The sequence below is a fragment of the Homo sapiens genome, chromosome 22, assembly GCF_000001405.40.
Source record: "Homo sapiens chromosome 22, GRCh38.p14 Primary Assembly".
Classification (NCBI taxonomy): domain Eukaryota; kingdom Metazoa; phylum Chordata; class Mammalia; order Primates; family Hominidae; genus Homo; species Homo sapiens.
Window position 1 is genome coordinate 29,223,390 of NC_000022.11, and position 17,926 is coordinate 29,241,315.

The 17,926-nt window shown below is 51.0% G+C and overlaps 1 protein-coding gene and 1 long non-coding RNA gene across 20 annotated transcripts in view, besides 3 other annotated features; one reads left to right on the forward strand and one right to left on the reverse strand.

Annotated features, from left to right (window-relative positions):
* The window catches only part of EMID1 (EMI domain containing 1), a 53,702-nt gene that overhangs the window by 17,494 nt on the left and 18,282 nt on the right, over positions 1 to 17,926 (forward strand). For 6 of the 19 annotated variants that reach the window (XR_937808.4, XM_011529869.4, XM_011529868.4 and 3 more), the window contains exons 4-13: positions 1,744 to 1,827; positions 3,101 to 3,162; positions 7,631 to 7,751; positions 8,069 to 8,119; positions 8,204 to 8,293; positions 8,867 to 9,013; positions 9,990 to 10,079; positions 10,225 to 10,277; positions 10,748 to 10,810; positions 10,916 to 10,960. Coding sequence is in view for 17 of the 19 variants with exons in the window: in XM_011529869.4 (XP_011528171.1) it covers positions 1,744 to 1,827; positions 3,101 to 3,162; positions 7,631 to 7,751; positions 8,069 to 8,119; positions 8,204 to 8,293; positions 8,867 to 9,013; positions 9,990 to 10,079; positions 10,225 to 10,277; positions 10,748 to 10,810; positions 10,916 to 10,960 (806 nt within the window). In the remaining 2 variants the exon portion in view is untranslated. Of the gene's footprint in view, positions 1 to 1,743; positions 1,828 to 3,100; positions 3,163 to 7,630; positions 7,752 to 7,892; positions 7,977 to 8,068; positions 8,120 to 8,203; positions 8,294 to 8,866; positions 9,014 to 9,177; positions 9,375 to 9,989; positions 10,080 to 10,224; positions 10,278 to 10,747; positions 10,811 to 10,915; positions 10,961 to 17,926 lie in introns of those variants that run through there. The other 13 variants (NM_133455.4, NM_001410828.1, XM_047441134.1 and 10 more) reach the window with 7 other exon arrangements.
* LOC105372985 (uncharacterized) lies at positions 19 to 2,441 on the reverse strand. The gene is made up of 3 exons (XR_001755481.2): positions 2,342 to 2,441; positions 206 to 329; positions 19 to 62 (listed from the first exon to the last, which is right to left on the reverse strand). It is a non-coding gene; the product is annotated as an uncharacterized LOC105372985 (long non-coding RNA).
* Positions 291 to 792: an enhancer, noted in NCBI's record as "H3K4me1 hESC enhancer chr22:29619669-29620170 (GRCh37/hg19 assembly coordinates)". NCBI's record gives its function as "activates a minimal SCP1, AML or CMV promoter by ChIP-STARR-seq in primed H9 embryonic stem cells {active_cell/tissue: H9 hESC(primed)}" and the evidence as "EXISTENCE:reporter gene assay evidence [ECO:0000049][PMID:30033119]".
* Positions 10,256 to 10,756: an enhancer, noted in NCBI's record as "H3K4me1 hESC enhancer chr22:29629634-29630134 (GRCh37/hg19 assembly coordinates)". NCBI's record gives its function as "activates a minimal SCP1, AML or CMV promoter by ChIP-STARR-seq in primed H9 embryonic stem cells {active_cell/tissue: H9 hESC(primed)}" and the evidence as "EXISTENCE:reporter gene assay evidence [ECO:0000049][PMID:30033119]".
* Positions 10,757 to 11,257: an enhancer, noted in NCBI's record as "H3K4me1 hESC enhancer chr22:29630135-29630635 (GRCh37/hg19 assembly coordinates)". NCBI's record gives its function as "activates a minimal SCP1, AML or CMV promoter by ChIP-STARR-seq in primed H9 embryonic stem cells {active_cell/tissue: H9 hESC(primed)}" and the evidence as "EXISTENCE:reporter gene assay evidence [ECO:0000049][PMID:30033119]".

Genomic DNA, 17,926 nt, shown 5'->3' on the forward strand with positions numbered 1-17,926 from the left:
AGATGGCCGCTTCTTTTGGTCAACTTCTCAAAAAGAGTACTAAAATGACATCACATCTCCACCTGGAAGCAGAAAGAATGAAGAGGGCTTGGTGAGACTGTTCTTCTCAGGCACCAGCGCTCCTGCTGAACATTGAGCCTCCCTGCCAGGTGCCCCCCACCTCCACCAACCAAAAAAAGAAATCTGGCCCTGGAATCAGGCAGACCTGTGTTCAAATCCAGGCTTGGGACTGTCCCGTGGACAACTGATGCCGAGTTGCCTCTCTTCTCTGCCTCATTTCCTCCTAGCGGGGAAGTGGAGCTGAGCTTCATTCTCTCATCCACCTTTATCTGAGCATGGGTGACAGAGAAGAGGTAGCACAGAGCTGCCCTGTGCCTCAGTTTCCCTACCTGGAAAGTGGAGGTGAATTGGAGGTGATACTAGCACCCACTCACAGTTAAGACTATGTATGTGAAGTGCTTAGATGGTGCCAGGGCCAGGGTAAATGCTAAACAAGAGTTGTCTGTTCTGATTATCACCTTCCTTGTAGGATTGAGCCAGGCTATACAAGGTCCTTCACATGAGCATGGTTCACAGTGATGTCTCCCCTCCCCAGGGAGTCCCCAGTGCCGGCCCCAGTCCTGGGCTGGCAACCCACCTTCCTCCATCCTGGGTGAGATTAGCCCCCTGTGCCTGGGCAAGTCACAGGCCCTTGAGGAGGGTATGCTGGGGATGCAGGCTCAGCACGAGTGAAGGCCCCACAATGGGACCCAGAGCAGGGCCTGGCAGCCTCCGCTGGGGGCTGGCCAGAGGGACCCGTCTGGTTTGAGTTCCCGGCGCCTCTCGCTCCCTGCATCAACCCACAGCCCCGCTCCGAGCTGCCAGGCCCGCGCCTTATTTGGGTCTTGTCTCCTCCCAGACAACATTTCGTGGCCTTAAAAGGAAGGCCTGGGGGGCTGAGGGGGGCAGTTGCCAGTGCTGGCTCCACAGCCTCTCCAGCTATGCCCCCGCCCCTGGTTTGGCCAGTCCATCCCTCCAGCTGTGGAGAAAACCAGTCCCCCAAAACCAGACCAGCCAGGGCGGCTGGGGAGGGTGAGGGGGGTTCTCCTCCGGTAGGGGTGGCAGCAGGGGTTGGCCCTGGAACTGGCTCCCCTTGCCCTCCCAGGCAGCCAGCCTCCCTCTGGTTTTCATTTAAAACCAGGGCTGAATCCACTTCAGTCTCCTCTTACCAAGCCAGGCAGCAAGAGTGTGGATGGCGACAGCCACGGCGGCCATTTATTGAGCACCTACTGTGTGTGCCAGTCCCTGTGTGTGCACAGTGGGCCCTTTGCATTCATGGCCGACCTCAGGCCTCACCCCAGCCTGGGAGGTTTAGAGGCCTTAGAATCCCATTTTACAGATGGGAAAATAAGTCCAGAGAGGACAAGTCATGCAGGGCAGTAAGTGTCAGGGCTCGGACCCAGGCTTGTCTGAGCGCTAACCTCTTAGCCCATGAGGCTGGTTGGGGTCATTGGGGAAGCCCTCAGCCTCATCTATGGCCCCCGCCCCATTGCCAGCCCCTCTTTCCAGCCCTATCAGGTGGCCAGCCTTGCTCTAGCTCAGCCCAGTTCATGCTGTTTGACCCAGATACATTGCCTCTCCTCTGGGCCTCTGTGTCCTACGCTGAGGGCAGTAGGGGTCCCTGCTGGGGCTACAGTGGTGGGCAGGGGGGCCTGAGGAGGCAAGGATCACATGCCAGCAGGGCTCTCACCCTCCATCCCTTAGTTGCAGCTTCCTCTGCCTCCTTGGAGCCCATGTGGTCGGGCAGTACCATGCGGCGGATGGCGCTTCGGCCCACAGCCTTCTCAGGTGGGTCCTGGGATAGCTTCTTGAGGTCCCCCTGGGCTGAGGGAGCCCTGGAGGGGGCTCAGGGCAGTTTGGTAACTGTCCTAAAAGCCAGTAGGTCTGGCAGTGGAGGGTCAAGGACAGTAACTATCTTCCCACCCCATGCTCCCCAGGCTACAAAAGTTGCTTCAAGGGGCACAGAAAGGACCCTAGAGGGTCATCTGACCTGGGCCCAGACACCCTGAGACCCATGACCCCTGGACTCTTGCAGATGCCAGTTCAATCCCCCATTTCCCCTTTTTATTTAATCAGCACTTTTCTGAGCATCAGCAGTGCTGGAGGCCCTGTGCCAGGCGCTTCCCATCAGCAGCTCGTTTAGACCTCACAGCTGTTCACTGCCCGCCCATTGTCCCCTTTTTAAAGAGGAGGAAGCTGAAGGTCTCCGACCTCCCTGCCCTGCCCCGCCCCAGGCCCCACAGCCAGGAGTGGGGGCAGCACCAGGACTAGACCCCAGATGTTGTGCTAGTTAGGCACTCACCCCTTCCTGCTCTGAGCCGTGTCCTCAGGTGTGAACAGGGGTGACACTCCCGTGAGGAGGGGAGAGACTGCTGGCATAGCACTTGGCTGGGCCAGCAGCTGGGAGGCTCTGTAAATGTCCACAGCTGCTGTGAATGACTCATGTCATTCTCGTGAGTCTCAGCCAGGCGGCCGGGGGAGCGGTGCTGGATGGTGGGTCAGGGGAGGCTCAGAGGTTGGGACCTTTGAGGCCAGCCCAGTCCAGACTGCGCTGGGTGGGTCCCCAAAGCCGGCAAGCCCTGGCCCCAGCCCTGCCCAGGCAGGAAGCAACAGGATCTTTCCAGAGAGGACAAGTCACGCGGGACAGTAAGTGTCGAGGCTCAGACCCAGGCTTGTCTGAGCTCTAAACTCTTAGCCCATGAGGCTGGCTGGGGTCGCTGGAGAAGTCCTCAGCCTCATCCATGGCCCCCGCCCCATTGCCATTTCTTGGCTTCTGGGAAAAGGGTCATTTTGGACACAGAGGCTGCCAGGGGTCAGGTCCCTGGTCCTGCTGCCGGAGAAGCAGGCCACTCTGGAGGCTCCAGTGCCAAAAGGAACCCATAGGGTGAGGTCCCCCTGGACCCACTGTGATCCTATAGCCCTTCCCAAGCCTAAGGTCCCTCGTGGGTTGGGGTCATCAGGTATCTGACGCTTTCCTCCATCCCAACCCCCAGAGACTGAAGGGTTCTGAGGGGAAGCCTAGGACCCTTGGCCCTGGCCCCAGCTTCCTCCCTCCCCGCAGGTTGTCTCAACTGCAGCAAAGTGTCAGAGCTGACAGAGCGGCTGAAGGTGCTGGAGGCCAAGGTGGGTGAGCAGCTCCCTCCTGGGTGGTTGTTCCCTGCCACAGGCCAGTCCAGGCAACCACCATCCCACCCTCCCCACCTCCTTCCCCGCACCCCATGCTCGCACCCTCAGTGAACCCACAGGGCAGCTCTGAACTGACTCGGCGAGCAGCATCCCCTGTCAGGCATGTCATGGTCTCCTCCAGTGTCCCTCCCTAGGAAGCCTGCTCACAGGTCGTGCCTCAGTTTTCCCACCTGTCAAGCGGAGGGGATACTAGCATCCACTCAGGGAAAACTGTATATGTGAAGCGCAAGTCACAGCCAGCCTGGCCTGTTCTTCCTCCAGGAGGCCTGTGAGCTCCCTCCCATGGGGCTCCATCACCATCCCCACCAGATCAGCATAGACACTGCCCAGAGATCCTGGTAGGATCTCCTGCCTGCCCCTGCCCCATCCCCTTTCTCTATCCCCCCAACCCCCATCCATAATACTATCTTCCTGGTTTCAAAAACAAAACATCTATCACACATCTCAAATTATTTCAAGATAAAATGTTGTGTATTTTTTGTTTTGTTTTGTTTGAAACAGGGTCTTCCTCTGTTGCCCAGGCTGGAGTGCAGTGGCGAGATCTCAGCTCACTGCAACCTATGCCTCCTGGGCTCAAATGATCCTCCCACCTCAGCCTCCTGAGTAGCTGGGACCATAGGTGAACAATACCACATCCAGCTAATTTTTAAATTTTTGGTAGAGATGGGGTTTCTCCATGTTGCCCAGGCTGGTCTTGAACTTCTAAGCTCAAGCAATTCACTGTCTTGGCCTCCCAAAGTGCTGGGATTACAGGTGTGAGCCGCTGCGCTGCCATAAAACTTTTTTTTTTTTTTAAATTAAAAAGTACTGCTTGGCGCAGCGGCTCACACCTGTAATCTCCATACTTTAGGAGGCCGAGGCAGGTGGATTGCTTGAGGCCAAGAGTTCGAGACCATTCTGGCCAACATGGCATAACCCTGTCTCTTTTAAAAATACAAAAATTAGCCTGGCATGGTGGCACACACCCATAATCCCAGCTACAAAGGAGGCTGAGGCTTGAGGATCACTTGAACCTGGGAGGTGGAGGTTGTAGTGAGCCAAGATTGCGCCACTGTATTCCAGCCTGGGTAACAGAGCGAGACTCTGTCTCAAAAAAAAAAAAAAAAAAAAAAACAAATTAGGCCAGGCGCAGTGGCTCATGCCTGTAATCTCAGCATTTGAGAGGCCGAGCCGGGTGGATCACAAGGTCAGGAGTTCAAGACCAGCCTGGCTAAGATGGTGAAACCTCATCTTTACTAAAAATACAAAAAATTAGCCGGGGCCGAGTGCCGTGGCTCACGCCTGTAATCACAGCACTTTGGGAGGTCAAGGAGGGCGGATCACCTGAGGTCAAGAGTTCAAGACCAGCCTGACCAACTTGGAGAAACCCCATCTCTACTAAAAATACAAAAATTAGCCGGGCATGGTGGCGCATGCCTGTAATCCCAGCTACTCGGGAGGCTGAGGCAGGAGAATCGCTTGAACCCGGGAGGCAGAGGTTGCAGTGAGCCGAGATTGTGCCATTGCACTCCAGCCTGGGCAACAAGAACGAAACTCCATCTCAAAAAAAAAAAAAAAAAAAAATGAGCCGAGTGTGGTGGCAGGTACCTGTAATCCCAGCTACTTGGGAGGCTGAGGCAGAGAATTGCTTGAACCCAGGAGGCAGAGGTTGCAGTGAGCCGAGATTGCACCACTGCTCTCCACCCTGGACGACAGAGCGAGACTCCGTCTCAAGAAAAAAAAAAGTAATTAATTAATTAATTTAAATTAAAAAGTACAACATTCTAAATTTAGAAACATGAAAAATTCAGAAATGTGAAAAAACAGCCAGCAAACCATTCACAGCAGTTGCCCATGCCCCCAAAGAATGCAACTGTCGACACTTAAGCATCCTTTCTTCCAGATTTTCTAAACACACAGACATGCATACACTTTAGTGCCATTCTTTGCTCCATCATTCCCTTCTCTGGAAATTTATCTTTTGTTTGTTCGTTTTGTTTTGATTCAGAAACAGGGTCTTGCTCTGTCACCCAGGCTGGAGTGCAGGCATTGCAATCTGCCGTGAGTTGGAGCTCACTGCAGCCTCCAATTCCTGGGCTCAAGCTATCCTCCTGCCCCAACCTCCTGAGTAGCTGGCATTACGGACATGTGCCACCACACCTGGCTAGTTTAAAAAACTTTTTTTAGAGCTGGGGTCTTGCTATGTTTCCTAAACTGGTCCTGAACTCTTGGCCTCAAGGAATCCTCCTGCCTCAGCCTCCAGGAGTGTTGGGATTACAGATGTGAGCCATTGTGCCCAGCCTGGGAACTTAATGAGATTATCAGATGCAAAAATGTTTACCAATAGAGAAATTTGAAAACCAGGCAAAAGAAGGCATGGTTGTATAATTGTGGAGAATTCATTCTATGGGGCATTCAGCAGCCATTTACAATACTTCCCTTCCCTAATATGAAAAGATTTCTCTAGGCTGGGCATGGTGGCTCACACCTGTAATCCCAGCACTTTGGAAGGCCGAAGCAGGAGGATTGCTTGAGGCCTGGAGCCCGAGACCAGCCTGGGCAACATAGCAAGACTCCATCTCTACAAAAAATTAGCTAGGCTTAGTGGCACACAGCTGGCACACAGTCCCAGCTGCTTAAGAGGCTGAGGCAGGAGGATCACTTGAGCTCAGACGGACAAGGCTGCAGTGAGTCGTGATAGCACCACTGCACTCTAGCCTGGACGGCAGAGCTAGACCCTGTCTCTAAAATTAAAAAAAAGAAGATGCCGCTGGGCGCGGTGGCTCATGCCTGTAATCCCAGCACTTTGGGAAGCTGAGGCGGGCGGATCACATGAGGTCAGGAGTTCGAGACCAGCCTGACCAACATGGAGAAACCCCATCTCTACTAAAAGTACAAAATTAGCCAGGCTTGGTGGCGCATGCCTGTAATCTCAGCTACTAGGGAGGCCGAGGCAGGAGAATTGCTTGAACCTGGGAGGCGGAGGTTGCGGTGAGCCAAGATCACGCCATTGCACTCCAGCCTGGGCAACAAGAGCAAAACTCCACCTCAAAAAAAAAAAAAAAAGAAGATGCCCCTGATTTATCAAATGGGAAAACCAAGCTTCCAAATAGCGTGTGCTGGCACCTGAGTTACAAGGCACGGGGTTCCAGGAGCAGTTCCCTGAGCTCCCTCCCAGGAGAAGCCCATGTAAGAGGCAACTCAGTCCCACATCTTGATGGGAATTCCTGGTTCAGGATCTGCCAGAGAGTTTCAGCTTTTCTCTGGACAGGCCCCCACGATCCCTGAGCCCCTGATCTGTGGTCATCTGGCCTTTCGTTGGTCCTCAGCAGCTGAGGGGACACTTCCAGCTTCCCAGAGTCTTCCTCACCATGGGCCCAAAAGTGGACTTTGTGTACACCTCCAGGTTTCTATTTCATGTCAGACTCTTCCAAACTTCCTTCCAAATTTAGTGAAAGGCCGGGAGTGGTGGCTCACGCCTGTAATCCCAACACTTTGGGAGGCTGAGATAAGCAGATCACTTCAGGTCAGGAGTTTGAGACCAGCCTGGCCAATGTGGTCAAACCCCATCTCTACTAAAAATACAAAAATTAGCTAGGTGTGGTGGCGCATGACTGTAATCCCAGTTACTCTGGAGGCTGAGGCAGGAGAATCACTTGAACCCGGGAGGCGGAGGTTGCAGTGAGCCGAGATCGTGCCACTACACTCCAGCCTGGGCAACAGAGCAAGGCTCTCCATCTTGGAAAAAAAAAAAACAAAAAAACAAACTAAGTGAAACTCTTCCAGCCATACCCTGTGGTGCTTTAAGAAATCAAGACAAGCTTCTTATTTGGATAACCATAGAGAAAAAGCACATGGCCCAGCAAGCACCGCGACAGTCACAAAGCTCAACTTTGATGGCAATGATGGTGTCAGTGACTTTTCCATAATGCGTGTTATGAATTGTGTGCTTTGAAAAACACTGTCACTTCTGATGAAGTTCGGTGCCCCTGCGAGCCTGGGGCTCCACTCCAAGCTGGGCCCTGCTGGCCATGTGCCTCCTGCCTCCCACACCAGGCCCCTTGGCTGGCCTGTCCGTGGTGAGACCCTGGCTCATGCCTGTAATCCCAACACTTTGGGAGGCTGAGGCAAGATGATTGCTTGAGCCCAGGAGTTCAAGACCAGCCTGGGCAACATAGCGAGACCTCGTCTCTACAAATAATTTTTTTTTAAATTTGCCATGTGTGGTGGTGCATCCCTGTGGTCCCAGCTACTTGGAAGGCTGAGGCAGAAGGATCGCTTAAGCCCGGGTGGTTGAGGCTGCATGAGCCGTCATAGTACTACTGCATTCTAGCCTGGGCAACAGAGCAAAACTCCATCTCAAAAAAAATAGGGAGGGGTCCTAGTGAGACCCTGGTACCCACCCCGTCCCTGTCTTCCTCTTCAGATGACCATGCTGACTGTCATAGAGCAGCCAGTACCTCCAACACCAGCTACCCCTGAGGACCCTGCCCCGCTCTGGGGTCCCCCTCCTGCCCAGGGCAGCCCCGGAGATGGAGGCCTCCAGGGTGAGTGTCAGACTCAGACTCCCCTGTGGGAATGAGCAGTGGGTTGGGAATCGGGGAAGTGGGATTCTGGTCCCCACCCTGTCGCTGACTCCCAACTTAACCCTCTAGTGGGCCTCAGTCTTCCCATTTCCCGTTTCTTAGACCCGCCTAAGAGGACCGTCTCCTGGGACTCCTGAATGCTGCAGTCCCTGGAGACCAAGCAGCCCCAGCAGACCCTGCCTGGAGGTCGGGGGGAGCTGGGAGTGGGGATTCTGGATGAGCCTCCCTCCTCCAGGCCCAGCAGGGACACTGACCTCTGCCTACCCCCCCCACCCCAGGGCTGCCAGGAGCCATAGAGAGTGTGAGGGTCCCGCTGCTTCCCCGAAATGGTAGATGCTGGTTGGGGGGCTGGGGCCAGGGTGGGGGTCAAGAGCAGATGTGGAGCTGCCAGTCTGATATGCTTTACCCCCCAGACCAAGTCGGTGCTTGGGGGCTTCCCGGGCCCACCGGCCCCAAGGGAGATGCCGGCAGTCGGGGCCCAATGGGGATGAGAGGCCCACCAGGTGAGTGCCCGCAATGCTGCCCCACAGCTCCTCTGGCCATCCCCTCCACCAGGTGGGCCCTTCCCTGCTCCTGACATGGCCAGGATGACCTGGGCCCTTTCATCTACTTGCCTCTTCACTCAGCACCCCACCACGGAGTGCCCTGCCCACGCCTGGGCTCCATGAAGTCCTCTCTTATGTTCACTGACCCACATTCCCTGGGCACCTACACTTATCAGGCTCTGAGCTGGGCACTGGGTGGGGTCAGACATGTCCCTGCCCTTCTGGAGCTTCCATGCTGCTGGGAGCAGGGCTGGGCAGAGGAGAAGCAGCAATGCTTGCCCCATGTGACCAGGGTTTCTATGAGGGGTTTTGGGGGTTTGGGAGCCCCAAGGAAGGAAGACTCAGCCTGGACGAGGTGGAGAACTAGGTGCTGTGCTCATCCCCCTGTTAGACTACCAGGCAGCCTAGGCCTGTGGACTCCGGGGCCCTCTCTCATGCCCACTGCTCCAGGCTGCCTTGTCCTGTCGCTCAAGGCCACCCTGGGCCTCCTTGCCTCCTGTATACCCACAAATCCGTGTGATTCCATTGCAGGTCCACAGGGCCCCCCAGGGAGCCCTGGCCGGGCTGGAGCTGTGGGCACCCCTGGAGAGAGGGGACCTCCTGGGCCACCAGGGCCTCCTGGCCCCCCTGGGCCCCCAGCCCCTGTTGGGCCACCCCATGCCCGGATCTCCCAGCATGGTGAGTCCCCCTGGGATCCCAGCAGGTGGAGGTGGGGGTGGAGTAGCCATCAGCACAGTGCCCGCTACCATCTGCCACGTGCCTTCTGTGTGCCAGCCCTGCTCACGATAGGCCACATGTGACCCAGTCCTCCAGCAGGCGCCGTTGTCCTCCTGTGGTTACAGGTGAGGAACACTGAGGACCAGAGAGGGAAGGTGGCTTGCCAGGGTCCCACAGCCTGGGCGTAGGGGAACGGCTTCAAACCCAGGCTGCCTCCAGAACCTGTGCTTAGAGCCACCGGGCATCAGGCCCTCCCAAGCCTTGGAACTGGCTGGAATCCAGTTCTCGGAACACTGGGACGCAAAAGACCCGGCGGCAGGAAGTGAGTCCTGAACTCCCAAGGCCACAGGCCCGGCCCCTCCTCCAGGCCCTGACGTGCGTCCTTGGCTTCTTCCCTTTGGCAGCCCAGCCTGACCTGCCCATGGGCTGCCAGGGGTCAGAGTGTGGAGCGCCAGGTTTCAGCCTCTTCTCCACTGTGTTTTTGGTGCACAACCCAGCACACCATTCATTCATTCTGCCATCCCAGCATTCATTCCATCTCACTATCCATACGATGGGGACAATGACAGTGCCAGCCTCCCAGAGCTGCGTAACATCCATGTACAGAAGCCTGGCACACAGTAGGTGGTGGATAAATGGTATCTTTTATTGTCATTCCCATTTGACAGGTGACAGTACAGGCTCTGAAAAGTAGAAAGTGTTGCTGGATGTCACCAGCTGGATTGCAGTGGGGTTAGAACCCACATCTCCCTGCCTCCTGGTCTTGCGGGACCAACACTCTCCACACTCCTCACCCTGGAGCAGGTGCCCAGGTGGTACCAGCCATGCTGCAGGCTGCCCCATAGGGCAGTCCAAGCTGTCTTGGCAGAGGTGGCAGGTGAAGACTAACCACCCCACTCTACCCAGCTCTACTCACTCATCATCTTTGCTCACCCAGGAGACCCATTGCTGTCCAACACCTTCACTGAGACCAACAACCACTGGCCCCAGGGACCCACTGGGCCTCCAGGCCCTCCAGGGCCCATGGGTAAGTTGAGTCCAGGCCAGGGGTAAAGGGTGAAGTTGGTAGATGGCAGAGGGAATAGGGTTTGTGGCTATCAGGAGGGAGCTGATGGGGCACTTCCTGAGATTGTACTTTGTTCCGGCCCTTAGGACATCCTGTCTTTTTCCAGGTCCCCCTGGGCCTCCTGGCCCCACAGGTGTCCCTGGGAGTCCTGGTCACATAGTGAGTAGTTCTCCTTGTACTCTCACCCATGTGTCTGTCCATCTTTCCATCTATGCATACATCCATACATCTGTCCATCATCCACCCTTGTATCCATCTATCCATCCATCCATTCATCCTTCCATTCATTCATTCAACAAGTATTTATTGAGCACTTAATATGCAAACTACCTTCCATAAATCTTATTCAATCCAAGTAATGAGAACCATGTGTGGTTATCACCTAAGACCAAGAAAAGTAGAGATTCTTGTGCCAGCACATGGCAATGAGCTGTGGTGGGACTGTCTGACTCCAGGATCAGATCTTTTAACACTGAGCTGTATGAACTGACTGCGGTGTGCTGGGTGTATGGTGAAGAACCCAGAGGCCCAGACCAAGCTTGAGCGCCCTCCCCAACACCTCTGTTCCCAAGCCCCTGCCCACTCCATCCTGCCCCAACACAAGGCTGAGGCCCTGTCTTGTTGCTCAGGGACCCCCAGGCCCCACTGGACCCAAAGGAATCTCTGGCCACCCAGGAGAGAAGGGCGAGAGAGTGAGTACCCAGGTGGCCCCAGGTGGGGGAATTCTGGGGAGTCCTGAGGGCCCCAGGTCAGAGTCCTCAACAGCTGACGCCATTCGTCTCCTCCCTCTTACACAGGGACTGCGTGGGGAGCCTGGCCCCCAAGGCTCTGCTGGGCAGCGGGTAAGTGTTGCTGTCTGTCCCGCATTCATCCCTGCAGGATCCCTTAGTCCCAGATTCCTCCTGTGACTCCATCCCCTGCAACCAGAGCTTCTAACCCTCCCTGTCTTGTCATTTATTTTCAGATGCTCCCTGTCTCTGAGACTCATTGTCCTCTTTGGATTAGGCTGCCTCTGTCTCTCTCACTCTGGCTCTCTGTTTCTCTGTATCTCTCTCTTTCCCTCTGTACGTCTGTCTCTTTGACTCTGTATTTCATTTACACTCTATCTCTCCAATTCTGATTGTAGATCTGTTCATTTCTCTCTTTAATTTGGTGAATTTTGCTTTACGTATTTTGAGTCTTTGTTATTAGGTGCATTCACATTTAGTATTTTAATGTCTCCTTGGTCATTTTATCTTTATGAAATTAATATCTTTATCTCTGATAATACTTGCCTTGAATCGACTTTGTGTGCTTTTAATAGCACACCAGCTTTCTTATGCTTGCTATTTGCATGTTATATCTTTTTTTATCCTTTTTTTTTTCAACCTGTAACTTTATATTTAAAGTGCATCATGGCTGGGTGTGGTGGCTCACACCTGTAATCCCAGCACTGTGGGAGGCCGAGGAAGGTGGATCGTTTGAGCTCAGGAGTTCAAGACCAGCTTGGGCAACATGACAAAACTCTGTCTTTATATAAAAATATGTATATAAATTTTATTAAATGTAAGAAAGTGTGGACCGGGCACGGTGGCTTACGCCTGTAATCCTAGCACTTTGGGGGGCTGAGACGGGTGGATCACCTGAGGTCAGAAGTTCAAGACCAGCCTGGTCAACATGGTGAAACCCCGTCTCTACTAAATATACAAAAATTAGCCAGGCATGGTGGTAGGCACCTGTAATCCCAGCTACTCGGGAGGCTGAGGCAGAAGAATTGCTTGAACCCAGGAGGCAGAGGTTGCAGTGAGCTGAGATCACACCATTGTGCTCCAGCCTGGGCAATAAGAGTGAGACTTCATCTCAAAAAAAAAAAAAAAAAAAAGTGCATCATATGACTTGGGTCTTGCTGTTTAAAAACAGTTTGACTGTTTAGTTAATTTATATTTAATGATATGTATAATTGATTAATATGGTTCTGTTTAGCCATCTTGCTGTTTATGTTCTATTTATTCCTTCTGTTTTGTGTTTCTTTTTTCCCTTTTCTTTTCTTGTCTTCTTTTGGATTGAGTACTTTTTATGATTTCTTTTTTCTTTTTTAGAGACAGGGTTTCCCTATGTGCCTAGGCTGAACTCAAACTCCTGGGCACATAGTGAATGAAGTGTCTTAAGTGATCTTCTTGCCTCAGCCTCCCAAGTATCTGGGACTACAGGTGTGCACCATTGTGCCTGACTTAAAATCTTCTCTTTCTAAAATTAATTTTCTTTCTAGAATTAAAGCTTTCTAGAATTTAAGCTTTTTTTTTTTTTTTTTTTTTTTTTTTGATACAGGGTCTTTCTCTGTCACCCAGGTTGGAGTGCAGTGGTGCAATCATAGCTCACTGTAGCCCCAACCTCCCTGGCTCAGGCAATCCTCACACCTCAGCCTCCTGAGTAGCTGGGACCACAGGCATGTACCACCATGCCCAGTTAACTTCTATTCCTTTACATTTAATCTGTTTTGTGGTTATATTTAAAGTCAGTTTCTTATAGAAAACCTACGGTTAGGTCTTATTTTTTGGTCCATTCTAACAATCCTCATCTTTTATTTGCTGCATTTAGGCCATTGACATTTAAAGTGATTATTGAGGCCCAGCATAGTGGCCCACACCTGTAATTCCAGCACTTCAGGAGGCCAAGGCAGGAGGATCACTTGAAATCAGGAGTTTGAGACTAGAGTGGGCAACAAAATGAGACCCTTTTTCTATAAAACAAATTTAAAAATTGGCTGGACGTGGTAGTGTGCACCTGTAGATTCAGCTACCTGAGAGGCTGAGCTGGGAGGATTGCTTGAGCCCAGGAGTTTAAGGTGACAGTTATAATTGCTTTACTGCATTCCAGCCTGAGTGACAGAACCAGACCTTGCCTCTAAAACATAACTAAATAGTCTGTGCACGGTGGCTCACACCTGTAATCCTGGCACTTTGGGAGGTGGAGGCAGGGGGATCACCTGAGGTCAGGAGTTTGAGACCAGCCTGGCCAACATGGTGAAACCCCGTCTCTACTAAAAACACAAAAATTAGCCAGGTATGGTGGCGCACTCCTGTAATCCCAGCTACTCAGGAGGCTGAGGCAGGAGAATTGCTTGAACCTGGGAGGCGGAGGTTGCAGTGGGCCAAGATTGTGCCACTGCACTCCAGCCTGGGCGACAGAGTGAGACTCCATCTCAAAAAAATAAGTCAATCAGTAAAATAAAAAATAACTAAATAAATGAAGTGTTATTTATATAGTTGGGTTAACAGCTACCATATTACTATTTTCTTTCTTTTTTTTCTTTTTTTTTTTATTTTTTGAGGCAGAGTCTTGCTCTGTCGCCCAGGCTGGAGTCTAGTGGCTGGATCTCGGCTCACTACAAGCTCCGCCTCCCGGGATCAAGCAATTCTCCTGCCTCAGCCTCCCAAGTAGCTGGGACTACAGGCGCCCACCACCATACCTGGCTAATTTTTGTATTTTTAGTAGAGATGGGGTTTCACCATCTTGGCCAGACTGGTCTTGAACTTCTAACTTTGTGATCTACCGGCCTTGGCCTCCCAAAGTGCTGGAATTACGGGTGTGAGCCACCTCGCCCAGCTACTATTTTCTATTTGTTTTCCTTGTTCTTTGTTCCTATTTTTGTCTGCCAGACTTTTTCTGCCTTTTTTTGGCTTTATTTATTTATTTACTTACTTATTTTCTTTTGAGAGAGAGTCTTGCTCTGTCACCCAGGCTGTAGTGCAGTGGTGTGATCTCTGCTACTGCAACCTCTGCCTCTTGGGTTCAAGCAATTCTCTGCCTCAGCCTCCTGAATAGCTGGGACTACAGGCACCTGCCACCCTGCCTGGCTAATTTTTATATTTTTAGTAGAGACAGGGTTTCACCATGTTGGCCAGACTGGTCTCAAACTCCTGACCTCAGGTGATCCACCCACCTCAGCCTCCCAGAGTGCTGGGGTTACAGGTGTGAGCCACCATGCCCGGCCATGCTCCTCCTTTCTTTATGTAAAATCTGAGTTTCTGGCCAGGCACGGTGGCTCACGCCTATAATCCCAGCACTTTGGGAGGCCGAGGTGGGCAGATCATGAGGTCAGGAGATGGAGACCATCCTGGTGAACACGGTGAAACCCCGTCTCTACTAAAAATACAAAAAAAATGTAGCTGGGCGTGCTGGCAGGTGCCTGTAGTCCCAGCTACTTGGGAGGCTGAGGCAGGAGAATGGCATGAACCTGGGGGATGGAGCTTGCAGTGAGTGGAGATCGCGCCACTGCACTGCAGCCTGGGCAACAGAGCGAGACTCCGTTTCAAAAAAAACAAACAAAAAAAATCTGAGTTTCTGACACATAATTTTTGTCCTCTCTGAAGAACTACCTTTATTTTTTCCCAGTTGGCTTTATTTGTGATTCTAGAATCGGGCAACACTTCATTCCATAAAATAAAATAAGTGCTCCGCTGAAGAACTTCTTTTAATGTTTCCTACAAGGCAGATCTACTGACAAAAATTCCCTCACTGTTTGTTTGTCTGAAAGTCTTCATTTCCCTTTCATGCATGAAGGATAATTTTTCAGGGTAAAGAATTCTAGGTTGATGTGTTTTTTTCCTCTCAATACTTGGTATATTACTCTCCACTCTCTTGCTTGCATGGTTTCTGCAGAGTTGGTTGTAATTATTATTGTTGCTCCTCTGCAGGAAAGATATTTTTTCCCTCTGTTTTCTTTTCAGTATTTTTTTATCTTTGATTCTCTGAAGTTTTTCTAAAAATTATTATTATTATTATTATTATTATTATTATTATTATTATTATTATTAGAGATAAGGTCATACTCTGTCACCTCAGAAGCCTTGAGGCTTCTGGGCTCAAGGGATCCTCCCGCCTCCACCTCTCGAGTAGCTGGGACTACTGTCATGTGCCACACCTGGCTAATTTTTTTTTCTGTTTTGAGATGAAATCTCACTCTTGTCCCCAAGGCTGGAGTGCAATGGTGTGATCTTGGCTCACTGCAACCTCCGCTTCCTGGGTTCAAGCGATTCTCCTGCCTCAGCCTCCCAAATAGCTGGGATTACAGGCACCTGCCATCACGCCCGGCTAATTTTTTGTATTTTTAGTAGAGACAGGGTTTCACCATGTTGGCCAGGCTGGTCTCAAACTTCTGACCTCAGGTGATCCGCCCGCCTCGGCCTCCCAAAGTGGTGGGATTACAGGCGTGAGCCACCGTGCCCGGCCATTTTTTTTTTTTTTTTTTTTAATTTTAGAAGCAAGATCTCACTATGTTGCCCAGGCTGGTCTTTCTGACCTCTAGTGATCCTCTTGCCTTGGCCTCCCAAAGTGCTGGGATTACAGGTGTGAGCCACTGCACCCAGCCTGATTTTCTGAAATTTGGATATGATATGCCTACTTGTCATTTCTTGGCATTTATCCTATATGGTATTCCCTTATCTTCCTAGATCTGTGGTTTGGTGTCTGACATTTTTGGGGGGAAAATTCTGTCATTATTACTTCAAATATTGCTTGTGTTTCTTTCTCTTTTTTCCTTCTGGTATTCTATTATGCATATTTACATCTTTTGTAATTGTCCCACAATTCTTGGATATTCTGTTCTATTCTTTCAGCCTTTTTTCTCTTTGCATTTCAGTTTTGAAAGTTTCCATTGTCATATCATCAGGCTTAGAGATTCTTTCCTCAGCCATGTCCAGTCCACGAATAAGCCCATCAATGGCATTCTTTATTTCTGTTACAGTGCTTTTTATATCTACCACTTATTTTTAATTATTTCTTAGAATATCTTTTTTTTCTTTTAAAAAAAATTTTTTTTTAATGTAGAGGCAGGGTTTTACCATGTTACCCAGGCTGGTCTCAAACTCCTGAGTTTAAGCAGTCTACCCACCTCAGCCTCCCAAAGTGTTGGGATTACAGGCATGAGCCACCACGCCCAGGCCTTTCTTAGAATTTCCATCTCTCTGCTTATAATCCATCTCTTCTTGCATGTTGTCTACTTTTTCCATTAATTCCCTTAGCATGTTAATTGTAGATTTTTAAAATTCCTGGCCTGATAATCTGAACATTTCTGCCATAACTGATGCAGGTTCTGATGTTTGTTGAATCTCTTCAAACTGTGTTTTTGCCTTTTAGTATGCCTTGTAATTTTTCACTGGAAGGTAGACATAATGTACTGTGCAAAAGAACTGCAGTAGATAGGCCTTTAGTAATGTAGTGAGAAGGTATTGGGGAAGGGAAGTGTTCTGGAGTCCTATGATTAGATCTCAGTCTTTTTTTTTTTTTTGAGACAGAGTCTCACTCTGTCTCCCAGGCACTGGAGTGCAGTGGCTCGATCTTGGCTCACTGCAACCTCCACCTCCTGTGTTCAAGTGATTCTCGTGCATCAACCTCCCAAGCAGCTGGGACTACAGGCGCCTGCCACCACACCCAGCTAATCAACCTCCCAAGCAGCTGGGACTACAGGCGCCCGCCACCACACCCAGCTAATTTTTTTGTATTTTAGTAGAGATGAGCTTTCACCGTGTTGGCCAGGCTGGTCTTGAACTCCTGAGCTCAGGCAGTCCACCCATCTTGGCCTCCCAAAGTGCTAGGATTGTAGGTGTGAGCCACTGCACCTGGCCTAGGTCTCAGTCTTTAGATGAGCTTGTGCCCTTGGACTGTGAACTTCACCAGTGTGTCTCAGTTGTTGTTTTGTTTTGTTTTTGTTTGGGGGTTGTTTTGCCCCTTAGGTGGGACAGGTTATCTAGAGGGAGTTAGAGTTGGATATTTCCCTTCTTTCATGTGGAAACTAGAGGGAGCTGGAAGTGGGTATTTCGCTTCCTCCAGGTTGCTTAGTGTTGGGAGAAAAGCTGAGTGTTGGGAGGGAAGCTGAGGCAGGGCTTGCACGTCTGACATAATGTAAAAGAGTCTTGGAACATGTCTGGGGTCCAGGGTCAAGAACCCCTCGTGGCCTTTGGAACACCAAACTCTGTGCTAAAGGGTGGAAGGCTACCCTGCCACACCGTAATCTAAGCCCAGGGCATAAAACCCCTCGTGACTTGGATGGAATCCAGGGCTCAGGGCATAAAACCCCTCGTGGCCTCTGGAATGTGTCTAGACTTGCTGGCTCCTTGCTTCTAGCACTCCCATTACCTCAAGTAGCAGAACATGTTCCATATGCTTCAAAGAAAATGCTAAACTGTCACAGCTGTAAATCATGCGCTTGACGCATCGCATTCTCTCAACCCCCACATCCTTGCCACCTGTTTCTTTGTTTGATCACCAGTAAATAGTGTGGGCTCCCAGAACTCGGGGCCTTCACAGCCTCCATACTTGTGTTGGCCCCCTGGACGCACTTTCTCTCTCAAACTGTCTTTTCTCATTCCTTTGACTCTGTCAGACTTTGTCGCCCCCATGACCTGGTGTTGGGTCCGATCACTCCAACAGGTTAGGCTCTGGTAAAGTAGTTTCTCCTGAGTCAGGCTTTGTTCAGAACAGAATGCTTGGTCTATTTCAAAATGATGCCTTCTCTCCTCTCCTTGCTGGAAGGACAAGGGCATTTTTCTCTGATATTCACTGTGAGGGCCTTGTAGAGCTCCTTGAGGTAAAACTCATGAAAGGAGGGATGTGGGTCTGACTGGGTCCCCCTGGAGTTTTTAACCCTAAGACTGGTCTACACTGAGCCTCCAGAAGTTCATCAATTACAGTTTAGGTTTTCCTACCCTGGCCCTGGTTCCTCTGGAGGCTTGTGCTTGTGGGTTTCTGCTTTAGTAAGTTGTGATAGTCTGGATTTGCCTCTCCAGCTTTGGGGGCAATCGTTTGCCTATGGTCTCACTTCTCCAACA